At 36.2% G+C, this 26,130-nt stretch overlaps 1 annotated feature.

Moving 5' to 3' along the window:
• Positions 1,811-2,312: an enhancer, noted in NCBI's record as "NANOG hESC enhancer chr2:81005685-81006186 (GRCh37/hg19 assembly coordinates)". NCBI's record gives its function as "activates a minimal SCP1, AML or CMV promoter by ChIP-STARR-seq in primed H9 embryonic stem cells {active_cell/tissue: H9 hESC(primed)}" and the evidence as "EXISTENCE:reporter gene assay evidence [ECO:0000049][PMID:30033119]".

Genomic DNA, 26,130 nt, shown 5'->3' on the forward strand with positions numbered 1-26,130 from the left:
TGGGAAGCCTAGGCAGGTGGATCACGAGGTCAGTAGTTCAAGACAAGCCTGGCCAACATGGTGAAACCCCATCTCTACTAAAAATATAAAAATTAGCTGGGCGTGGTGGTGGGCGCCTATAATCCCAGCTACTATGGGGGCTGAGGCAGGAGAATTACTTGAACCCAGGCAGCAGAGGTTGCAGTGAGCCGAGATCACACCACTGCACTCCAGCCTGGGCGGCAGAGCAAGACTCCATCTCAAAAAAAAAGAAAAGCAAAAAAAAAAAAAAAAGAAAATAGAAAGGCTTGGTTCAGTATTGTATTTAATTGTTTGAGGTACACACATAATTATGTAGATTATTAGTTATTGATTGCATAAATAATTATGTAAATGTTTGAAAAAGAGAAAAGATGTTTAGAATCAAAGACTACGTTTTGTGATTCTACCAAAATACATGATTGTGAGAAAGGGAAATGCTAGCATGTGTTAGAGGAATGTAGGATGTTTTCTTGCACAGGGTGGGCCCTTAGAAGACCTGAGGAGGTGGAGAGAAGCTGGGGACAGGGAGGGGGCTCAGAAGATAAGGCTGGGGTGATATAGGTGAAGTTGGAACAATGTGTATCTCCTCTGGCACTGAGGAGATATAAAAATCTAAAGCAATGCCTCTGTGTTAGAATAGGGATGATAGATGGCTACAAATGCCTGTCATTTAAAGACAGAGCTGCTAGCAGCTTTCTAAAGAGCCTCATCCCAAATTACCAATAGGCGTGGTATCCCTCTCTTGGCAACAGGAAATAGGGCTATGGCCTGGCTGAGGTAGGAAGCTAGTTGGGTGGAATGCCTTCCAAACACTAGGGATATGTTTGGCCTCAAAGCTCTCTCCTTGACCTGCTTGATGATGTCTAAGATCATTTGACCAGGAGCAAAGCAAAGCAGGAAGAAAGGACCCACACAAGGAAGCCTGGCAATGTGGCAGACAGACCATTGCCATGAAGTTCAAACAGACCTGTGTTTTAAGTCCTGACTGCCAGCTTCTGTGCATGGGCCAGTCTTGAGCTTTTGAATAAAGATGACACATTCACATTAGACTACAGAGCTATTATATCAGTAAATCATCCAGCACAATGCCGGTCATGGGCAGGGACTAAATAAATAGTAGAAATTATTAATTTAAGGAAAAATACAAACTTATCACAAAGGAAATTTTCTAGCTTGACAATTGTGACAACTTTAATGCTGATAAAGGAGGAACTGAGGCTTAGTTGAGAAGCGATTAAAGGTCTCTTCTTGGTCTTTACGTAATGCTCCTCAATCTGCATGAAATCATGTCAGGGCTTCCTTCTCAGAGCTATGGAATACGTCTGTTGTTTTTAACCTACCCAGAATTCATTTCTTCTCTTTCTGGTTTTCCAGATCCTCAGTTTTCCTTGGTGGAAGCATTGAATCTACTCTTGCTCCACAGAGTTAGTATGGAATTGAGCCTAACTCCTAGCTGCAAGATGAGCAATTGATCCAGGCTTACCAAGTTAGACTAGTGCATCCTCTGGCCATCCTCCCCTTCTCATCAGGGATTTGAGTGTGACTTACAAATTAGTCCAATCAGAATAAGTCAAATATCTTATAACTATGGGGAAAAATAAGTTGTGTTTCTGCTAGGGTTGCTGTGAGGACGGGCTGAAAGCTGACAGCTGGCAACCAAATTGGAAGAACCTGCCAGAATGAAGACAACTAGAAGAAAGCAGAGAGGAGAAATGAGAAACAGAGTCCTGATGTGAACAGAGCAAATATGCCACACTCTCCTAAGTGCCTTGAATATCAACTTTATTTAACTCTTTCAAAAATCCTATGAAGCGGTTATTATGTTCATTTTAGAAGAAAGAAAACTGAGTCAGTCACTGAAAGTTAAATAACACGTTCCAAGTTACACAGTAAATAGGTACTAGTACAGGGATTTAATTGCAGGCAGTCTGGCTTCAGAGTCCTTGCCTTAATAGATATACTCTACTATCTTTTCAAGAGATGCTTCAGATTCTGGATCCCCTATAGTTACAGTAATGTTAGCTAACACATTTCCTTTCTTGGCTTAAGCCATTTTCTACTAGCTAGGATTCTGCCATTATCTCTCAAAAGCATGCAGAGTAATTTAACTGCTCACCCAGTGTTCTCTGCCTTGCCCATGGTCTCAGTCTTAGCCCAGATCCTCCTTTTCACCTGCTAAAGACATTACCCAAATGCCTTTCATTCAAAATTCTCTACATTCCAGCACAAAACTGTGTTTGGATCTTACTTCTATTACTCCTCTCCAGAAAAAAAAAAAAAAAATCCTTTTTGTTGGCTATTAATGATCTCTCTAAACCTACAGCTGAGCCAATCAATTACTTCCTACAAGTCCATCGACATCTCTGATTACGTGCTCCATCATATTACTAGGGAAAATATCTAAAGTAGTATTTGGCAATTTAAAAAAATCTCATTCAATATCCTTATTCAGTAAACGTATTAGTCTTAAGAACTCTGCTAATATAATTTAGAATTTTTAAATTAATTAAATTAGACACTGGAGTTCTTAGGACTCACCCCACCCCTTTTCTTCTTTTCTTGTGAAGGGGAATGGGTGACTGTAGGTTACCACCACCTCCCAATGCCCCAGTGCTTCTTGTTAGCTTTCAAACAGTAGTTGGAGTATGTTAAACACGGTTTCCTTGCAACCATTTCCCCCCTCTTCAAAATGCACATTTATTCCTTCCCCTTTCTTTCATAGGCTACTTCTCAGCAATTCTGCCATTAACTCAAGAAAAGTAGAATGTGCAGTTTACCCTTGAACAATGCAGGGGTTAGGTGCACCCCCCACCTCATGCAATTAAAAACCTGTATATAACTTTTGACTCCCCAAAAATTTATCTATGAATATTAGGTTGGTGAAACAGTAATTGTGGTTTTTGCCATTACTTTTAATGGGAAAAAGCTGCAATTACCTTTGCACCAACCTATAGCTAACTGTTGAGATCCTTTCTAATAACATAAACAGTAAATTGACACGTATTTTGTTTGTTATATGTGTTTTAATACTTTATTTTTACAACAAAGTAAAGCTAAATAAAAAATATTATTATGAAAATCATAATAAAGAGAAAATGTATTTACAATTCATGAAGTGGAAGAGGATAATCATAAAGGTCTTCATCCTTGTCCTCTTCATACTGAGTAGCTGAGGAGAAGGAGGAAGAGGAGAGGTTGGTCTTATGATCTCAAAGGTGGCAGAGATGGAAGAAAATCTGTGTATAGGCAGACCTGCATAGTTCAAAGCCCCTTTGTTCAAAGGCCAATTATATACTCTGTGTGTGTGTGTTTACATGAACCTATAACAAAGAGACCATATTAGGTTTAATCATGACACTCATTTTTATTGGCTACTCTACTTTCTCTCTGAACTTCTTAATCTATTAATATACTTAGTTGTCTTCCTAGCTATATATTTTGAGGTTAATCTGTAGTGCAAAGGTGAAAAGAATTATTGGTTAACATACAAGCTGCTATTTTCATCTGTGGTTGGGAAAGGCAGCATTTTCAAGCTGAAATCTACAAGACTGAGACAGATTTCCTAAGAATGTTCATGGTTTTCCACTTGACCACATGAATTTGTTTGGAATTTTGCCCTGCCTCAAAGACATAAGGGAGAGTAATCTGTCAGCAGTGGATGCTTGAATTGCCTTCTCACCCTATGTGCTTTAAAATGACCCCAAAATTGCTGAAGCAGGCTAAGTGTTTCCCCTCAAGGTGCTGGTTATACATTGCCAGGTTCTTAAGCTCCATTCATAGCCTCCCCATTTTCTGCTGACCCCATTCCTTGATTTTCCCGTTTCAATAGATCTGCAAGCATAGAAACTATAACCTCAAACCTATTTGCAACCACTCAAAAAAGACACAATAGGCTGAGGCAAAACACACACGCACACAAACACAAGCACACTGCCACCACCACTACCACTAACAACAACAACACAACCCTAGGAGTTTGTAACAAAAAAAAGTTCTGCTCCTACCTTGGGAATATCTTCACATGCCATCTCCAGAAAGGAACAATTGTGATTTCAGATGGTTGAGAAGAATTACTTTGCATTATCGCAGCATTGAAATGGAATTTCTTCATAAGACAGGATGAAAATCCTTCTTTAACATAGTCTCTTTCCTGATGACAGGTTATGGCATGGTCCTTGTGTCTGAACAGCAGTGGTGAGAGTCTCTCTGGGAAACTTCATGGTGGTGAAGACCTGAATGGAGATACCTTTGAATCTGCCTGTCAGCAGAACTGACCAATACAGGCTCAGTTCAATAGCAGCTGGATGTAGCTGCTTCTAAGGATGAAGAGCCGCTCCGCTCCAACTCTAGAGCCTATAAAGTGCTTGAATTTTGGGAAGGGGTGGGGGTGGGGGGATATGAATAGACCTTATGCTTTCACTTACCATACCCTGAACCTAGATAACTACTTTTTCAATGGTTTTCCCATAACTGAGTGAATGTACCCTTATGAATTTCTTGAACAACCCTGGTGAAACTTTGTCTTGAACTCATATCACAAGAACAGAAATAGAACTTACGTATCCTTGCATGTTTCAGCTCTATCTTGAGTCATGTGTCTTAAGAAGTGTATATTTATTTTTAATTCCAACAATTTTTGTTGAACTGGCCAATTACATTCTTTTGATTGTGAGCCATTTAATCAGATTTTCTAGTGCCCTGGCTACATCACAGAAGGAAACTCATTTTTGTTCTTTTCAGTTCACTGGGTAAGTGAATGCCCAATTACCTTCTGGGGCCGTCACTGCTCATCGCCATTTTGGAGTTTTTGCCTCCAGGCCCCACTCCAGTTTCCTCTCCAGTTACCTTATCTCATTTCCCAGTTGCTCGGCCAAGTGAGGCTTCCAGGACACAATGCCAATCTCAAGGTACAGAGTTGCAGGGTAAAAAATGTTGCATCTAGTTACTATTGTAGTTCATAATATGGAAGTCACATATACCTCACTCCTCTGTATTATTAATTATTTGACCCAAATATCCTATTGCTTAAGTCCTTTGCCTTTATGTAATTCACCTTACATTCCAACTCCCAGTAATTAATAACAGGGTAGCCTTTTTGTTCTCCAGGGAAAGAAAAGTATCACCCCTCTATACATGGGGATTAGGTAATTAATGCAATGTTTTTCACTGGGAATGCCTTAATGAACCTTTTGGTCTTGTTTTTCTCCCAGAATTACACTCTACAATTCAACTCTAGAAAGAGCTTTAATTGTTTGGAAATAAATAGAGAGTCATTTCTGGAGTATGTTAAAAAGCACATTGTCAGGGATCTGAGATCTATAAGGAATCACATGTTTAGTCATGCAATTTCAACAATATTAACCCAATTCACCTCATTAGAAAATAGAGAGGGAAATGAATGGAAAACGTATTTGGTGATGTAGGTGAGGGTATATGTAATGCCATTGAGTTTATGATATTTCCACTGTAGAAAGGAAGTTAATAATTGGGAGTAATTCCCATTGATTTCTAGTGCATGTAGTAGGCACCAGCTAGATTTACTCAAGAAAAAAATAACTTTGAAAAAGCAACATTTTACTCTTTCAATTATCATTCCTGGTACATAATAAAGAAAATTTAAAAGATTATATAAAAGTGAGTTAGACTCACTTTTCACTAATACTTTTCCAGTATTAAGCAGTAATGGCACAATTTATTTACAACCATCTGTAATCAGATCTTTGTCTAAACCTGTATATTTCATCTTTTTATTGTAATGAGTGACCCCAGACTATTTTAAATGCTGGGAGTGAAGGGGCTTCTTTTTATATTCAATTTCTTATTAAAGTAAAGAGGATATTTAATATGATTCACTCTGAAAATTAAATGCTCCCAAGTTGCATTTTAAGACATTTAGCATAACTCATGTTTTAATTCTGTGTTTTTAAATGCTCAAGGACTTGAGTTTCTGCTCTCAGCAAATCTTTGCCTCAGGAGACTCTTTTTTGTTCTTAGTGTTTCAGAAAAATATTTTCAACTAGCTCATCTTCTGGCTCACTAATCCTCTCTTCAGCTGTGTCTAATCTGTTATTAAGCTGATCTATTGAGATCTTCAACTATTGTAGCTTTCAATTGTAGAATCAATTTTCATTCTATTATTTCTTGTAGATTTTATTTCTTTGATGAAAGTTTTTATTTTGGTTATCTATTTCTTTCAACATCTTAATCACTGTTAATTTAAAGTCCATAACTAATAACACTGAGGTCTGGACTATCTATGGTTCTGCTCGTAATTCTTGTTTTGTTTTCCCCTGTTGGTCATGTTCTTGGTAATTAATTTTAATTAAATGTTAAATAATGTATTTGAAAAAATATAGTGCCTCTGTATAATATTTTTTCCTCCAGAGAGCATTCATCCTATCCCCTGGCAGGTAGCAGAAGGAAAGATCCCCTCAATCTAGTTAGGGAATGAGCTGACTTGAGCCTGCTTTGAAGTGCTTGTGAGACATTCTAATATTGACTCAATGGCATTTCCCTGGGACAGTCCTGCAGAGATACAAATAAAAGCCTGCATTGTTATCCATGTTTCTCCCTCCTTGTGGGTCCTGATCTCCATTTTTTCTTTCCCTAGGACTAAGAAACAATGAGAATCTCTGCTCTGATATTCAGCCACTTTCTCCTTGTTTTCATATCTTCTTGTTCTGCACAACTCTATGAACAAATGTCTTGGGGCAAAAACTTGCTCCTAGTTTCAGGCTTGCTTCCCTCTGACTCCCTCCTCCTTCTAGGATCTTGATCTCTCAGTCCTGCCTGCCTTGGCAACCCCAAACTCAAAGTTTCACTTCTCATTCCTGTGAGTTCTCCTAAAGCTCTGATAGCTTCTCTGTATCTCAATATCTGCTCTGTGTCTGGATTCTCAGCCTTTTGACTCATGCCAGGGATGAACAAAGCCATGAGGAAAACAGCAACATTCAGAAGCTATGCTCACTTTGATGACATTTCCTTCTCTCCAGGTCCTAGTCTCTCAAGTCCTGGCTGCTTCAGAAACTCTCTGAGGTCTTTGAACAGATTTCTTTTTAAGTTCAATCTGGCTTATCCAGTTGATTTTGATTGGATAATTTGCCTTCTGCAAGCTTTTTTCATAGAGCCAGAACAGAAATCTCTTTATGCAATTTGAAAATGCAATTTTCAAAAGGAGTTAAGAAACAAGTGCTTATTTCCCAGGTGTTCAATTATTTTGACCAAGGTTATGTCTTTCAATTACAAGCTAAAATATCCTAGCCTTTTAAGCATTTTCTCGGATAATTTTTGCATATTTTTTATATCTTAAAACAGAAATTTCTCTTGTGCCAGTTCTCCTGGGCAAAGAGTGACATTTTCTGTCTCCTTGTGTTTCCTAGCCTCATGTCTCTTTCAGTGTACACCAGTAACATCAAGTAATAAATTGGAAAAACAGGCCTATATCCAACTGTATTTTGCAGTACTTCAGAATGTTTATAATGATTTTATGTAAAATGTCTTTAGGGCCTCAATGAAGTTTATTATCTGAATTTTCCTACATGTAACATTTCTTTGGCAGGAATTCTCAGAATTTTAATGCACTATTTCGAATCTCAATGAAATATATATAGTGTACAATGTTTCTCAAACTTACCTGACCAGGGAAGCCTTTTTCATAAAATATCTTAGAGGTTAAACATACAGAAGAAAATATTTAGAAAATATATTCTTAAATGTAACCTGCCCTATAAGTTTACAAACTGGATTACCATGAAAAGCAGCAAAGGCTTATGTATTTTATTCCTAAATTATGTAAGCTGCCACTTTAGTTGGCAAAACTTTGTTAGGCAGAAGTATTTATTTACCAGTAAGTATATTTTTTGTAGTTCATTATTGTTTTAAATTATTTAACATTTGTGAATATGCACTGATGCTGCTTTTCAAGTAGTACTTATTAAAGAGGTGCTAGTTTCCTTTAGTTCATAATTTCCTTTGAACCGTGCAATAACTGCTGTTAAATAAATGATACATTTATTTTAAATATAAGCAAACTGAGGCTAAAAAAATTTAAATAACTTTTCAAGGTTATAGAAGTATTATATGGCAGAATTGGGATTTGTCCTAAAATAAATATATTAATAACTTTGATCCCACAATGCTAGATTAAGAAGTATTGAAAAAGGACAAAGGGAAAATGGTGAGATGGGTTTGGGAAAACAATCATTGAGTATGTCCACATTGTGTCTCTTAATATAAATTTATATCTCTTTTCCCAACTATCTTTAGTAACCCATGATGTTGAAAATTTCAGAATGGAACAGTGTACATCTTGATGGTAATAGCACATAATAATATTATAGCTAACACTTTAGTAGTGCTTATTTTATGTACAAGACAATATTATAAATGATTTACACATGCATATTAACTCACTTAATCCTCACAAGAATTATGATGATATTAGTAATAATTGCTATTACAGGAATCATTATTATTGAATATTTATTTTGTGATAGGCCAGGCTTTTTATAGTTTTTAACAGGCTTTTTAAAAAGTTTTCACAGTAAATAAATGAAATAAAAACTAATTATTTTTGCCATGGTTATACTGAGACATAGAGAGTTAAATGGATGTCCAAATATTACCTGATCAGTTATTCCAATCCCGATTGTATGAAAGAAAGCCGGTATTTTTAATCACCATACTATACTTGAGCTAAGCCTTGAGGGTTATGGTAATGGGAACAAAAAAACTGTGATGCACTGCTTAAATACTATGCCTTTTTATGTTTTCTCACTTAAAGTCTCATAAAAGATTGATGACCAGCACCTAAGCAATTGTATTGTTTTGTGTTATTGTTATGGTTAAATAATAAATGTTATGGGATCTAGATAGAATTAATCATAATAGTAAAAACATGTCTCAAGAGGAGATTCTGCAATCTTTTACTCTGGCAAATTGCAACTCAACTCCCCAAAGATAATAAATGTAATTAATTCCTACCATCAGTAAGCATAGGATTCACTTGAGAATGGCAAGTTTAGGAGAGAAAAAAATGAGTTTATAGCCATAGAAATAAAAGCATAGTGTTCTTTGCATTTATATTTGAGAGAATTAAGTCACTATCCCTTTATCACCACACTCTTCTACTTCCAGTCAGGTTAGGGAAGAAGATAATATTTTAACTAAGAATTTAATTCCTAAGAAGTATGCAGGTCAATATTTTACCTCTGTGTAGCTAAAAGCAGACATTAAGAAACCCCATAAATGCACAAATACAAGACAAGGTTGCTCCTTAAAATGTTTACTCAGAAAAGTTTGTGGTAGATTTTGTTTTTGTCTTCAGTTATCTGCTACCCTCCCTGTGAGAGGTTTACACATCCCTCCCAACTGCCATGTGACTTGCAGTGCCTCTCTGTGGGATGAATGTAATTCCCAGCCAGTGATGTTGAGCATGACCATTTGACTGGCTTCCATTAATTGAATGTGAGTATGCAACATCTAAACAGAAGCTTTAAGTGCTATTGAACAATTCTTCTATGGGAATGCATGTCATTGGCAGAGCCTACTCCACCTGTCTGGATTGCAGAATAACGAAGATACCTGGAAAAACAGCATGGAACTGACAAATAATGTGAATAAGAAATAAGCCTGCTGTGAACAATTGAGATTGTAATGTTACTTGTTACTACTGCAAAACCTATCAGAAGCTCACTGATACAAAATTACCTTATGTAAAAGTCCTTATGATTTTTTCATTTGTAGAGTGCTGTTTTAATTACTTAATTTGAAAAAATAAGTGTGAGTTAGTAAAATAAACAAATAAAAATCCTCCAGCAAGGCTACTTGTGGATATCTCTGCGGTTCTCTTCAGTGAATTGATTGAAAAAGAGGCACAAAAAGTTAATGCAAACTTAGTAATTATTTCTTAAAATATGAACTCACAATTACAAATATTAAATGCCATTGTAAGTTGGTATTTCAGAAGATTTCAAAGATTATTGTAAACAGCAATATATTCATGATGACTTTGCAAAATTTAAGAAGATATACCTATAAAATTAATGGGATAAATAACAATTACATATCACCAAGAAAATAGTTACTTCTTACTGAGAACATTTTCATTGAAAAAACACATCAAGCTCAGATTTTTGAAAAATGGTATATTCAAACATATTGGAAAGCAAGGAATATGTTGTATTCTGGAAATCTGTGTTAGGTGACTCAAAAATGACTCTAATGAGTACAGCTATACTGATTTTGAAGATGCACGTGAAAAAATAGAATATTATCAATTGTGGCTTTGATTATACTAGTTTGGAAAATTTATGTACTAGTTTGGAAAATTAATGTTTTCCCTTGAGTAATGGAAAGTGTGTGTGTGTTTGTGTGTGTGTGTGTGTGTGTGTGTGTGAGTCAGAGAAACAGAGAGATAGCAGTGCCCAAATTAACAGCTTCTTTCTTGACAAATCAGCAATTCATGCTGGTGAACACATTTTGAAACGATCTTGTTCTACAAGACTTGGAGTACCAACACTCACCTTGGATTGCCTTTCCGGAGCACTTGAGGATTTATCCTAGACTGCGTGACTTAGGCTAGGGGAAATGTACTTTTAGGGGAAGATGTCGAACCATTGAACAAAACCAACACTTTTAATAAGGGATAGAATTTTCTGAAAATACAGAAAGGTATATGTGAAAATTTGCAGGCTTGAGGGACACAGAAAATGTAAAAACCAAGTTGAACCCATTTTAATAACCATTTCTTGATTGGGTTATACTACCTACCCAGAAGCCTTCAGACCCACTTTAGCCCTGAAACACCTGAAGTTTTCTACAGAAGATAACTGTTCTCTGTAATGTTGACAACGGTTATCAGGAAGCTTATTCATATAACCTTATTCCTTATTCTTTTGACCTGTTTATTTGGCTTCATTTCTTCAATAGCATACCAAATGAAACGATGGTGTTTTCACCCAGGCAGCCTGGCAAACCATTCTGAGATACTGGGTACAGGGTCCCACTTCCCTTCCATCCCTTTACAAGGTTTAGCTTAAAATTCTGATGTACAGGACTTTGGAATCAGCAAAAATTTTATAAGTCTGCCGCTAGATTAGATTGTATTGTGAAATCTAAAATGTGGAAGTGACACAAGAAATAGTTAAGTCCAGCCACCTTATCAAGACACATATACACATAAATTCAGCTGATTGGAAAGACAAATGTGCTTCAGGCATCAATGTGTGATCTTGGTGTAGCATTTCCTTCTTCAGAATATTCTTAGGCTCTTCAAGTTTTCATTCCATGGCATGATCCCAAACCATCAAGATTCTTAATGGATATTGTAGTGTTTTGAATTGTGTCCTCCAAAAAGATAATTTCAAAGCCTAACTCCCTATACCTATAAATGAGACCTCATTTGGAAATATAGTCTTTGCAGTTGTAACTTAAGAATCTCAAAATCATACTGGATTTAGGAAGTTCTAAGGAAAGCAGTGTGCTGAATTACATTTTGTAAACTGTTTCTTTTAGAGCTTTTGTAAATCACAGAGTTTCACTCTCCTGCAATATATTATACTTATTATGTGGCGCCTTTATTTTGCGAATCTATTGGTCACAAATTTTATTTCTTGGCTTCAATCATTTGATAAAATTATCTTGTGGTGTGTTTATGGCATGCTTATCAAATAGCATTCAAATATTTGTTATAGTTTTATGTTGCAAAATTGGGCTTTAATTATTTATTACACTATAATCCTACAAGAAAGACTCAACAGTTTCTGGTTGTTTGGTGGAAAGTTCCCAGGAATATATGCCTGAACTATAATAATATTCATCAAACATGGATAGAGAAGAGAAGTTTTAGAAATCTTCATGGACACCAATGTTGAATCAAATTATTCATGATAATATCATTTAAATACATAATTTTATAAAAGTTTTAAGCATGCAAGTCCATGACCATAAAGCAAAGCAAATGATAAAATTCAAAATAAAACTAAAAATCCATTATAATTTGAATAAACTATATTAACATGATAGATGATATTGTTTTCCTGAAACTAAATTGGTAATCTTTAATTTACTAATAGAAATGTATTTGCATATTCTATGTTTCACTTGGGACTTACTAGCTTCATTGGATTTTGAGCACGGTGAATCAGCAATTAAATCATCCTCATTATTATTACTTTTACAATTACTTCATTTTAACCACAAATCCATAATTGTAAGTCATTTACTTGTATATGCTAAAACACAACATTGTAATAAAAACTTCTAATATAAATTACTTATTGTCCAATTACTACTATACTTTCTGTATAAAAAGTAATTTTAATTGACATGGTCTGTTATAACATTTGTTTTGTAGTGGATAGTATTATTAAAATTAGGCACTTTTGCTCTTTCTTTGCATTATATTTTCTTAGAGTTTTTGTTAGAAATGACTGCTGAATTTATCAAATGCCGTTTCAGCATCTGCCAATGGTGTGTGTGTGTTTATGTGTGTGTGTGTGTGTGTGTGTAGTTCTAATCAATTTTGTCACTTGTAGATTTATAAAGTTACTGCCACAATCAAGATACAGAACTGTTCCATTATCACAAAGGTTTCCCTTGTGCTACCCCTTAATATTTGTACCCACTCCAATTTCTGTCCCCCTGGCAATGACTAATATGTTCATCTCTATAACTTTGTCGTTTCAAGAATGTAATATAAATGAAATCACACAGTGTGTAATCTTTTGAGATTGGATTTTTTTTTTACTCAACATAATGACCTTAACTTCATTCAAGTAGTTGCAGTATATCAATGATGTATTATTTTATTGTGTGGAGTAGCATTCCCTTATATAGATTTGCCACAATTTCTTTAATCATTCCCTCACTGAGGGCACTGGAATTGTTTTCAACTTTTGATGATTTTGCAAATAAAGCTTTACAAATACTCTGCTATGTTTACAGGTTTTTTTTTATGGACATAAGTTTTCAGTACTCTGCAATAAATGCCCAGGAGTGTAACTGCTGACTTATATAGTATGTTTTGTTTCATAAGAAATTTCTAAACTATTTTCCAAAGAAGTTGTACCACTTTACATTTCTACCAAGGATATATCCCAAGGATACATCAAAGATCTACTCTTTCTCATTTGGTATTGGTACCAAATGCTGGTATCAGTACCATCATTTGATATTGTCACTATTTTTCAATGTTACCTGTTTTAATATATATGTAATAATATGCTTTTTAGCTTGTATTTGCTTAATGGCAAAATATTTAATATCTGTTTCCATGCATAATTGTTATAACATCACATTTGTTGATATCGTTGAACTTACCATAATATCTCAAGACAACCTATTAATGAAACAAAACTGAATTTATTTAAGCTCACTGCAGTAAGGGAGAAAACTACTTAACAGAGATTTAGCAGTGCCTCAGGAGGAAAGTCAGAATTGGTATATTTATAGGTCTTTGGTGTCTGGGCTCAGTGGTTTAAAGTAGCGCTTTCAAAGTAGAGGACTGATTAAGATTGGGCAAGTTTTCAGATACAATAGTTTTTAGACTGGTAGACATAGCAAAGTAAAGGCCTTGAAGCAAGTTTGATAAGTAGAATGTCATTTAGTAGGTAAACAACCCAGGTCAGAAGACCCAGGTCTTTGATAAATAGCTCTGGAAGAATTTTATTAAAAAAAATATAAAATTATTTTTTAGTTTGTAGTTCTTTCCTAGGCAAGGTTTTTCTGAAACAAATAGCCAGGTCGTGTTGACATAGATGGTCTAGTTTCATCCAAATCATGCTGACACAGACACTCTCAGTCCTCAATAATGAATTGTATTAGAAATTTCCAGCTACTTATCTACTCTTGAATTTGTGAAATAAACCCTACTTTTTTATGAAGCATTTTACTCTCTTATGAATTATTAGATTTTACTTAAAATTTTAATCGGAATTATTATATATACTCAAGTGCAATTGACTTACAAAGTTCTTTTTCGCATTATAATTTTGTCAGGTTTGGGGATTAAAGTTATGCTGGCTTCAGAGTATGAATTAAGCTCTCCACAATTTCAACACTCTGGTATATTATAAATACATTTGAAATTATCCAGTCTTTGAAGCTTAGGTGAATTCATCTGTAAACTCCATCTGGTCATTGTGCTTTTTTCCCATAAAAGATCTTTATTCACCTTTCAATTTTCTTCAATGGCCATAGCCTATTTCTTTTTTCACTCCTTCCAGGCTAAATATTCTTGCATTGTTCCCTTCTCCTTTGTTTTTTAATGTCTTTCTTCCTTTATTTTTATGTGCCTTCATGCTGGTTCCTCCTCCTATTAGTCTGATTCTAGGATAGGCATAATTCTCATCCTAAGAGAATTTATAAAGTCAGAAAGTCCAGGGTTGAATTTCCTGTGCCTACGAACTGTGGGTTGTGTAAAAATGGAAAATACAGTTAAATTGACTAAACTTCAATTTTTGTCATAAATAAATTTAATATGTGTTGTAGGTCAGTGTACAGACCATGACTTCAGGAATTAGGCATTCCTGATCCCTATTTGCTAATGACTCCCAGCTAAGTGCTTTTGCAGGAATTGCCCTCAACCATTGGTAAACTCCCAGCTCAATGAGTGGTCAGTGTGCAGACACAATGTCCTAGCCATTTTGCCTTAACTCAGGCCAAATCTGAAGGGTAACCCCCACTGTGGTGTTCCCCTTGAGATCACCTGATGCCTCTGTTGCAAATGTCTCACAGTTCAACTCCTCCCTTTGACCAGCCCTGCAATCCTCATCCATTTACAGGCATTGTTCCCGAGAGCACTCCCCAGTAAACCTCTTTCCAGCAAGTCTCCATCTCTGAATACGTTTCCTGGCTTACCCCACCTAAGTCAGAAAATTGGTGTGATACTAATGCCCACCTCTTAAAGCTGTTGGCGTGTATAATGAGGTTTTAGACACACAGTGTTCGTAACACGAGCTTTTAAGTGTTACTCTTTATTTTTACAATAGAGTGTTAAGAAAGAAACTTTTCTCTACTCAGACTTTTGGCTACCACCACAAAGCAGAGGAAAATAGCTGATTAATTTTTATATATTGTTGAGATAAATGGTAGCCACATCCATAGAGACCTTAAAAGATGCCAGAACTGGTCCTGCTTTGTCTATCACTATCATCTACTTTTCACCTTTGTAAAGACTAGAAATTCTAAAGGAGATTGTTTCAAAGGAGTTTATACAAGTAGAGATATACTTGGCTTACTGCTCTGTCCCCCCACCCTAAGCATACACATGAGACCATGAAGCATGACCAAAGGGATTTGGGAAAAACTTAAATGCTGTCCCTGGCATTTTGAGGGCATACATGAACAAAGAAGCCTGCACCTGCTTCTCACACAGGGAAGGCTGAAGGAAGGAAGGAGCTTGGATCTGCCTGGGATGGCAAGACAAGGAAAATGCAGATAGTATTGAACAAGTATCACTTCTACTATTTGTCAAGCAAAGAGGCATTTCTTACCAGTGGAAAAGTCACTGCTACAGGGCACAACTATGCCTCCCCATCACGGTGATGGTAATGGGAAGGTGAAGGATGGGTAATGGGAAGATAATGTGGGTGGTGGTACTAATATAGTCTGCACTTGGAGAAGAAGCCTGTAAGGAGATAGCCAAAACTGTAGTACCTTTTCAGGAAACTGGGCAATGTGGAAGGTAGCTTCAGAATAAATTTTCAAAGATAGAACAAATGGATCCATGAAAGATGTTTGCCTCACGAAAGATGGATGTCTGCCATGGCAGAAATGATCAACAGCTAGATGATGACTTCTTACTCTCTTTAATTCCTCCTCCCTAAGATCCAATTCTGGAAGAGACAACAGGAGCATGAAAAAGTTGTGGCAGTTTTAAATTCTATTTGCATTTTTTGACATTCCTCCAATCAAAAGGTGACATCTAATTTCCCTAACCTTGAAATGAGCTAGCATTATTATTAAACTAATCAAAATTTCTGTATTGATGCTTTAGTGGAGATTCTATTTAACACTATATATACGAATTGCAATTTTTTTAAACTCCATTTAGAGCCCTTTTTAAATTTGGAAAATTAACCACATTAAACTAAATAGAGTAGGGTTTTTACTCTTACTTCAGTTATATTATTTTGTTTTCTATTTCCTTGTTTTATTTTCTTCCTATGTGTTGTATAAATTAGGAATATTTTTCTTCTAGTAAAATGACTTGTTACAGATGGATTTTATCATATATATGGTTAGATGCAATTCTTTATAAAACATTTAAATCTATATTTCTCAATTTAGCAACATTGAATATGAGATTATCATTCGAGTACATGGAAATGATGAAAATATTAGTCATACTTGTATTTCTTTTTAACTATCGCTCATAATCTTGCCCTCCCATTCAATTACTATATTTTCTACAATGTTGATTTTCTTTTCTTGATCTATAACTTATTTTTACTATGGTATTTTTTCCTTTCTTTAAATTCTTTAAGTAGGTCATTTTTTATTTGTTATTGTAGTGTGTACTCTTATCTCTTATTTTCCCTTGCTTTATATTAGCTGCATTTTATTTTGCTTTCTTTAAAATCACAAAATGATGTCAAGAATGCAGTTCTGATACATGAACTAAATATTTCTAAAACAGATGCAATTCCCATACTTCTTGTATGCCTTATTCAAATCCTTTCATTTCATAGAATCTTTTCTTAAGTTTTGATTGTTCTGATTTTTTTTGGTAACAGAAATTTGGTGGAGATTTTCCCTTTCGATGTCAATTACTGCTAAAATCTCAAAGCTTCAATAAATAGATAAGCACCAACACATTCTAAAGGGTGGTTATATCTCTTTGGGGCTGGTTTAACTATTTAGCAGACACATCCTAAGGTGACCCCCCAGTATGTCATGCCCACCCTTGTATATTCCCCTACCCTTTAGTAGAGGTAGAATCTATGCTTTGCTTCTCAACAAGAGAAAAAGGCAAAGATAACGGAATACCAATTTCTTGATTAGGTTATCTGTCAAAGTGATTGAAAATCACTTATATAATTTATATATAAGTATTTAAGACTCTAAGACTCCCACTCAGCTAACTGCAGAAAAATACTCTGCTTCTAGCTTTCAAGAGGCAAGGAGATATATTGAAAATTACCTACAAGAAGGATCACATAGCAGGGAACTCTGGGCAACATCAAATACCTGATAACAGCCTCCACCCTGTAGACAGTAAGGAGCTGAGGCCCTCATACAGCTGTAAGGAAATGAATATTGCCAACTGTCTGCATGGACATGGAAGCAGATCTTTTCAATTTTAGTCTCCAGGTTAGAACACAGCCTGTCCAACACTTTGATTATAACCTTGTAAGACCCTAAGTCAAGGACTCAGTCAGGCCACCTGACCCAAAGGAAATTGTGAAATAATATGTATTGTCTTAAGCTGATAAATTTGTGGTGGTTTGTTACATAGTAATAGAAAACTGATAGAATTATTAATAGTTCTGCATCTGTTCCTCAATCATCCAGCTCCAGCCCTCTTTATATAAATACAAAAGAGACTATAAACTGAAGAGAGAAGTATTGAGATAGTGTAATGTAACCCTAGCTAGTGGGAATGACCTTTGAGGCTTTTTTTCCTCCTTATGGAGGAGAATTGTTTCGCATACTCACCCAGCCCAAGTCAAGTGAGTAGAGATCTAAGAAAACTATGGAGATTGTGGGTTTCTGAAGAGCTGGAACTGACCCACCTCGTAGTAAGAAACTTCTTGTAAGAATGTTTCATGTATCACTGGAATTTGAAGAGATATATAAACAAGGCGCCGTTCTTGACCTTGTTTGTAAAAGTCTGGCTTCTGTCAACAACAACTCAGGAAGATAGGGTTTGAGAGGAAAGACAGTAAACAATCATTTGTCAAGACAAAAATCTCTGAATTTCCGCAGAGATGAGCCATTATTTTACCTTCTTGAAGAATACCCAATCCAAGATGTGGTTGGCCAGACTGGAGACAAAGGTCTAAGGTTGCAGGGTATAATTTTAAGAGCAGAACTGACATGGAGGCAGTGAAAGGTCACTCAGCAAACTTATTCTCCAGGTCAGGAAACTCTGCAGTGCAGAAATCCATATGGTGCTTCCAAATAAGCCCACAAATGCATCACATAAGACAGCCTCTACCAGCAATCAAGTGCCTGCCACAGAAGACACTGACAAAATTATATCAATAGCAGTGATTTAATACTTTTCTCTCTTTTCCTATGAAAGCCCCTTCCACTAATTTGGCACTGGGAGATCCAGCAGGAGGAGAAGAAGATGAAGGACAAGTGAATAGACAGATCATGTTTTGTTTTGTATTTTTTTCCCGCATAAATTCCCTAAGCCCTGAGTCAGTTATAAAATTGGAGTAGAAGAGAAATTTTTGCCCTTATGGGAGTTTGCTATTTTAAATTAAACTCTGCTGGACTTGAATTTGTTTTAACCCTGTGAATGATCAGAAATAAATGGGATTTGTGTGGTATCACCAAGGGACAGAAAAAGGGAAGGTAATAGGACCAAATCAAAGGCAGTAGTAGGAGAAAAATAGAAATTGCTTTTTCTGGCATTTTCCCTATCAAGTACAGCCATTTATATTATCTAATTGCCTCTTTTCCCCTTGTTTATTTATTCCTAAAACAGGGAAGATCTCTCCAGAACCCTACTCAATGAAGGGAGATCCTCTTTGCATTCTTTCACTCATGTGCTTTTTGATTCTTTCAATCAAGCGCTTTTTGATTCTTTCAATCAAAGGGTAGACAGGACTGGGAGATGCTGAAGTTTTCTGTCACCCATTCAATTGTTAACCAGTCTGAGGAAGGTAAGATGCAATCTATAATTATGAGCAAAACTAACTAGAGAATGTTGCTTCTGCACAATTGTTTTTCTTATATTGACTAAAAAGTATTACACTACAAGCAGCCTTTTTAACTCTGGAGTTCCATTATCTTATACTCAAGGTATACAGTGTTGGTAATTCTGATCTCCTAACTCGAATTTTGTTGACCAGAGTTGGGGGAACACTATATCCTGGGAATGATGCACTGTACCCGCAGAGTTTTGAAATGTTTTACATCAGAATACTTGGGCCACATTATCATGAGATTTGACTGAACCCAGCTCAGTTGACTATCAACTTCTTAATAATATGGCTGTATATTATGAAGCAGTTTTCTAGCATTTGCTTTGATATCTGTTGGCTGGAAATGGCAAAAATAGATAAATTCTGTCCATTTTTACCCTGAATATTTGTCCTATGCTCTTGCTCCTCCAAATTAGGAAATTTTTCTTCAGGCTTCACACATACTCTGCCAAGCTGAAGAATCTTCTTATTATTTATAAGTACTATTTTATTTATGTACAAGTAGAAATGGCTGAACATTTAGATTTATTGAGGGCACTCCTTGTTTGCATTTGTTGTTTTCATGATGTAACTATAAATAGAGCCCCTTTTATCAAAAGTAACTTATATGTGCCACAGTTTATATCCTTATGCTATTGAGAAATCAAGTCAAGCATCGCTTTAACCTTCTTATTACACAACCTAGCACTTATTCTTACAGGCTGCTGATGCTGTCTCAAAGTGTTCGTGATTCTTGTTGGATAAAGGGGCTCTGATATGGTTTGTCTCTGTGTCCCTACCCAAATCTCATCTCAAATTGTAATCCCCACATGTAGAGGGAGGGACCTGGTGGGAAGTGATTGGATCATGGGGGAAGTTTCCTCCATGCTGTTCTCCTAATAGTGAAGGACTTCTCACAAGATCTGATGGTTTTAAAAAGTGTTTGGCAGATTCCCCCACCCTCCCCCCTTCTCTCTTTCTATCTACTGCTGCCTTGTGAAGAAGATGTTTGCTTCCCCTTCTGCCATGATTGTAAGTTTCCCGAAGGTCCCCAGCCATGTGAAACTGAGAGTCAATTAAACCTCTTTCCTTTATAAATTACTCAATCTCAGGTAGTATCTTTATAACTGTGTGAGGATTGACTAATACAGGCTCCAAGTAGAGTAAAATTAATCTCACTGCCATCACAACTTGCCTTTGCCTTCAGATCTTGACCTCCATCACTGCAATTTTCACAATGGCATATTACTTTTTCCAGGAAAGGAGTTATAAGTCCTTTAGTGACTTGGAGTTATAGTCCACTGGTGACTTCTCTCTCAGTTTGTTCCTTTCTACTCTATAGATTGTCAATATTCCTATTTTATAATGTGTAGTTCACTATCATCTAGTTTGATAACTCACAAAGATTTATTTTTTCCTATTTAAGTTTTCCTCAACCATTTCAGTAATTTTTAAGAGGAGTATTTAGAAATGTATTCTACAAGGTTTTTTGTGTGTTTGAGCGTGAAATTATTTGAGTATAAGATTAAAAATTTACAAGTTCTGCTGAATATATAATCTTATTTAAACCAATGAAGGCTTTTCTTGTTTGGCATGTAGGAAAAAATTAGTTTTCATACATATATGGCAACTCTTCCCAAAATATTTCTTCTTCTGAGGTCTAATTTACCAGCAGAGGATTTTTTTTTTTTTTTTTTTGACAGAGTCTCACTCTTGTCACCCAGGCTGGAGTGCAGTGGCCGATCTCAGCTCACTGCAACCTCTGCCTCCTGGGTTCAAGTGATTCTCCTACCTCAGGCTCCCGAGTAGCTCGGACTACAGGCACGTGCCACCATGCCTGGCTAATTTTTTTTTTTTTAGTAGAGATGGGGTTTCACTGTGTCAGCCAGAATGGTCTTGATCTCCTGATCTCACGATCTGCCCACCTCAGCCTCCCCAAGTGCTGGGATTACAGGCGTGAGCCACCGCACCCGGCCAGTAGAGACTTTCTTTTGGGTAAAACATTTTACATACTAGGTTATTTTTAAAATAGAGATTAGTTAGGGAATTTGACTAAGGCATTAACTCCATAATGCTTTAATGTGAGTTAATTCAACTCAAAATAACGAGAAAACTTGGAAGTACTGGGACACAAGGGGTAGGAGTGTCTGCAGACAGAGAACAGAAAGAGGCATGAGGAAGTTTAGCAACACCCAAACATGCTCCATGCTGTTTATAAGACACAAATACATGAACAAAACCAGGAAACACTCCCAAGGACAATTATTGTATTAATTTGGGCATTAATCTCTCCCTTTCAGTTACACCTTTCTCTCCTCCATTGTACTGAATAGAAAGTTGAAGTAATCTTTTCTTCACTTTATATCCCTGAGGAGATTTCTAGCTGGCAAGGGCAGTAGACATAGAAGTAGCAGTAGTACTGATCTTTTGAAGCTTTGGCAAAAGCAATAGGAGGTGGGACGACCATAAGGGAAAAGTTGCATTTGGAAATCAAAGAACTTTAACCAATGTTCTCTACATCCTAAGAGGCTCAGTCTATAGGACTTCTCCAGGGGAAGGTGGTACTTCGGTGGAGGGAGTTGGCCTTAGCAGACCTTGGATTCGCAATTTTCTGGCAGCCTTTCCAGTATAAACCATATTGTGAAAAGCAAGCAGAAAAATATACTCATAAATACCAAATTTCCAAAACCCACTATGATTCCGAGGTTCTGCCTTTCTTCCAGAGTAATTGGAGGGTCTAAAAGAAAAAGATGATGGTATTTATATTCCCTCTGATTTCCTCTGATTTTATTCCCTAGATTTTGCAGAGTTTTAGTTTTCTGTGTAGGATATTGGGCTGTGTAAAAAATAACATAATTCACAGCCTTCGGGGCTTCTAATGGGACTTCAAGATTCTTTAGTCCAGTGGTTTACCTGGCTAAAATCAGAATACTTCAAATGAAGATCATAGATTTGTATTTTACACAAGATCTTTAGGTGGTTTCGATGATTGAAGAGCTTTGGAAATTACTGAGCTGGTCTTATTTCTCAGGTACTTGAATGGCCTGATTGGTAAGAAATCAGTATGCAATTATACCTTAATTTACAGCACAGTAGAATGAATTTGTGTTTGGATTTGATCCTGTGTCTTGCAGGATTCTACTCCCCTCCTGTAATCCTTCTCTGAAAAGTACATTTATAAAATAAATGATGGCTTGAAGTTTTTTGTTTTAAGTTTGATTCTATCCTCATCTCTGGGCTGCAGTCTGAATGGCTCAGAGTCCATTTGTTTTTCTTCCTTTAGTTGTCACTGAGCTTAAATTGTTTTTTGCCCATATAGAATATTTCTCTTCCTTAATGTTATGGATGAAGATGAACTACTCATTGAGCTGGCAGGAGTAAGAGTAGTAGGATTAGTTTGGTTTCAGAAATGATATATGGCTGCAGGATATAAAATCAACTGAGATTCGTATCCTGGAAGACTAGTTAGTCTGTCGTGACTGCTGTCATTATTTTTCAGTCCACAAATCTGCAGGCAAAGTGTCAAGGTCAGCTACAACTATTTTTGAATTCTCTGGTTTTGTTTTCAGTAAAATTGATTAATACTGCCTTCCAACATGTGTAGTATTGTTAAAGGAGGCAGAGATAATCAAATGGTCATGTGGAAGTATTTGAGGAGTCAGACTAAGATAGGTAAAGCTAACAACTAATGAAAATATAATATAATTCCTTTTACCCAATTAACTTTGCAGATGCTCTGATACTTGGCCAAAATATGAAGTTAGTAAAAATATTTCTTCTTCCAGCTATTTTAACCTTTGCTTCATTTTCTTCCACACAGCTAAGGGCTGGAGAACTGGTTCCCTCCTTTTTAATAAGCATCTAATACTTTACATTAGCTCTCTTTTTTTCACTTGCAAGCAAAATCTAGCTTATCAGTCAATTGATTAATGGATGGTCATATCCCCTGGTACCAACTAGTTAGGCGAATATGGTTTTAGATAAGTGTTTTCTAACTTTATAATTGAGCCGATAGCATAAAGAGAATAGAGGACCCTCCTGGTATTGAGAAACTTTCAAAATTCAGAGTTGCACTGTTCTTTATCAAAAAGATCAGGCTATTTTGTTTGAACATCACTAAAATTCAGATGAATAATTTGTTTCTTCCTCAGAGCATAAGTTTCCTCTAGAATCATGATTGCAATAATGCTATTCTCATTCTAATGCATTTGCATAAACATCACACCCCAAAGGTTAATGGTAATTGCAAAATGGGTAAACCTTTAAATAATTCAAGGCTTTCCGATTCTAAAATTACAGCCTGATTATTTGCTAACATGTCCATTGCTCTTTAAAGCTTACAAAAGGCTGTAAAGTACATGATCTTATTTAAATTTCATCATAGGCCTTGGAGATGAGTTCTATTGTTCTCATTTTATAGATGAAGTAACTGCTCAGAGTTGAGGGCAGTAACTGAGGACCCCAACCCAGGTCTTCTGACTCCTAGTCTATTGATTTCTCCATTGCACAAATCTCTTCAATCACTCTGTTTGATGGTCTGTATTTTATAAAATGCAGTAAATATTGACAACATTGCAGTTGTTTAGGAACCTGGAGAATATATTTTACTGACAGTGAAGTAAATTCATGTGATATAGAAGAAAAAGCCCTAGACTATTTTTTTTAAAAAATGTGTAATACAATCTTAAGCCTATCTTTTACAAATCATATGACCTTGTGAAGGTTGTCTAAATTTCTATGTAATTTTTGTTTCTTTTTTTTTTTTTTGAAGAGATGGTGACAACGTCTAATGGGCCACAGTTTCAGTTGCTAATGCTGTATAAAAAAACACCCCAAATTTAAAAGAAGAATAAGTTGTCATTTCTTATGACCTTTCTGTTAACAATTCAAGTAAAGTTCAACAGAGAGGTTCTTCTGCCCCACTTGGCATTAGCTGGGGTCATTGGCTTGGCTGCATTTAACTAGCAGCTGCCTTGGGCTAGAAGGTTCAAGAGAGCGCCTTAACACATCTGGCACCTCAATACTGCTCCATGTGATCTCTACCTCTGTCTCTGTCTCTCTCTGTATAGTATCTCATCACCCAGTAATCTTTCCTGGTCTTCTTTTCCACAGAGAGTTGGCATCTAAGAGAGAGGTTGAGCAAGGTGATATATTTCTTAAAGGCCAGGGCTGGAACTGGCACATCACTCTCTTCACATTCTATTGACCAAGCCAACTCTCCAGGCCAGCCCAGATTCAAGGGAAGGGAAAATAGATTTTATTTTGTGATGGGTGGAGCAGTAGGCACATAGAGGGAAGGAAAAGATTAATGGCACTCACCCTTGGAAACTATACTATGGTCAGCCTTAGGTAGCTATTTGATTACTCAGTAAGAGACTGAAAGTTCTATTTTTCAAAACAAATCATTATTAGATGCATTCTGTAGCCAAGAACTGTTCTATGCCATGGGTGTATAGTCGGAAAAAAGAACAGATGCTTTTTTATACCTCATGGTAGTAGAAAAGGCAGATATCAACTAAATGAATATATAGATAAGCACTGAATTACAAATGTGGGTAAGAGCTATCAAGGAAAGCTGTAGAGTGCTATAGCACAATAGCCTAACTTGGATTAATGGGCCAGGAAAAGCATCTGATCAGGTGATGTTTGTGTTGAGAGCTGCAGTCTGAGTTGAAGTCAGCTATGTGAACAGGAAAGACAAGAACACTCCAGACAGCAGCCACAGCATGTGTGATGACCCTGAGCTGTGTTGTAAAGATGGAAAAGTCATGGTGACCAGAGCATAAGGATCCAGCAAGTGTGGACCTAGAAAGGCAGGTGGTCATGCCATTGTTAATATTAGATGAATTTTTTCTATTTCATCCAGATGTTTAAAGACAGTACAGAAAAAGATTATATCCATGAAACAATATTATAAAGTGATTGTGTGAGGCTTATAGTGTATGAACACTCAAAGAGCTTCTACAGTTTCCTTGTTTTTTGTTAAATATGTTCCCACAGTCACTGACAGGTGTGTGTAGGCAGAAAAGGAAAGGGAGGAAAACATTTTTTCAAAGGTAGAAATTCAGAAACTTATTTACTAAAAATGCTCATTTTCCCTTCTTGAGCATCTATAATTTTTGATGTTATTACTTTTGCATTTTCTACATCATTAAATGCATCTGTGATTTTCCCTGCTTGTTCAATCTGTTCCAGGCCTACACACACAAAATCACATTAACTAATATTGTAATGGAGTTGACAAAGTCCTCATAAAAATGAGTACGTCTTAAATTTTAATTATGAATGCAGAACAAATAGTATGTTCCAAATTTATTTATTATTTTTCAAAAAAAAAGAAATCTCAAAACTAAATGATAAATTCAAAGCCAGAGAGAAGAGGCCTAACTCATTGCAGGTCTTGGATATCTCCGCTTAGTACAGAAAGAATAAACTGAAAAAGAAATACTGCCTCCTGATTGATAGAGGGAAATGATCTGCTAGACAGTAATTCACATCAATTTACCACTTGTTCACTGCATATTTATTGTGTGCCTAGCCCCATGCAGAGTATTTGCTGAGGATAAAAAGAAATATATAATGCTGTGGAACTCACAGTTTTGCTAAATGGACAGCAGCCGTGTAATCGAGAAGGCAAAATGGAAAAATAATGTACCGTAAAGAATATAAAATCTAGTTATATTGACAAAAATGTTCTTCAAAATTTAGAAGACAGCCCCTCATATGCAAAGACAAAAAAGAATTATTGAATTTGTTTAGGTCTGAAAAGTAGCCGCTGGAATTAGACACCAGGATGTCATATCTTTGTTGCCTTCCCAGGATTCAATTCCTTTTTCCTCCTTCCGCCTGTAGCTAGGAGTACATAACCTACAGTAACCAGTCTATGCCTTATATCTACATGGCTCAGTGATCAGGTGAGGTAGGATGTGTGATTGGAGGGAATCTCAACAGTTGTGCTGGGAATGCAGGTATAGACCTTGTCATCTACTGGCTATGAACAAAGGATGGATGTCAGCCAAGAATTGCTGACCACCACAAGGGGAACATGTGGAGATAGCTGCCTGAGAATGGACTCTATACTAAGCAACTGTTGAGATGAGATTTGATATATAAGAAAATTGTTGCCTGAAGGTACAACTGTTTTTAGTTATTTTATTTATTTTTATTTTACCTTTGGCAGCACAAAGTAATCGAATTGAGAAGAAGGCTACCACTTATGTGTTCTGTATTTGTGTACTTCTTGGACAATTCA

The sequence above is a fragment of the Homo sapiens genome, chromosome 2 (assembly GCF_000001405.40).
Source record: "Homo sapiens chromosome 2, GRCh38.p14 Primary Assembly".
Taxonomy (NCBI): domain Eukaryota; kingdom Metazoa; phylum Chordata; class Mammalia; order Primates; family Hominidae; genus Homo; species Homo sapiens.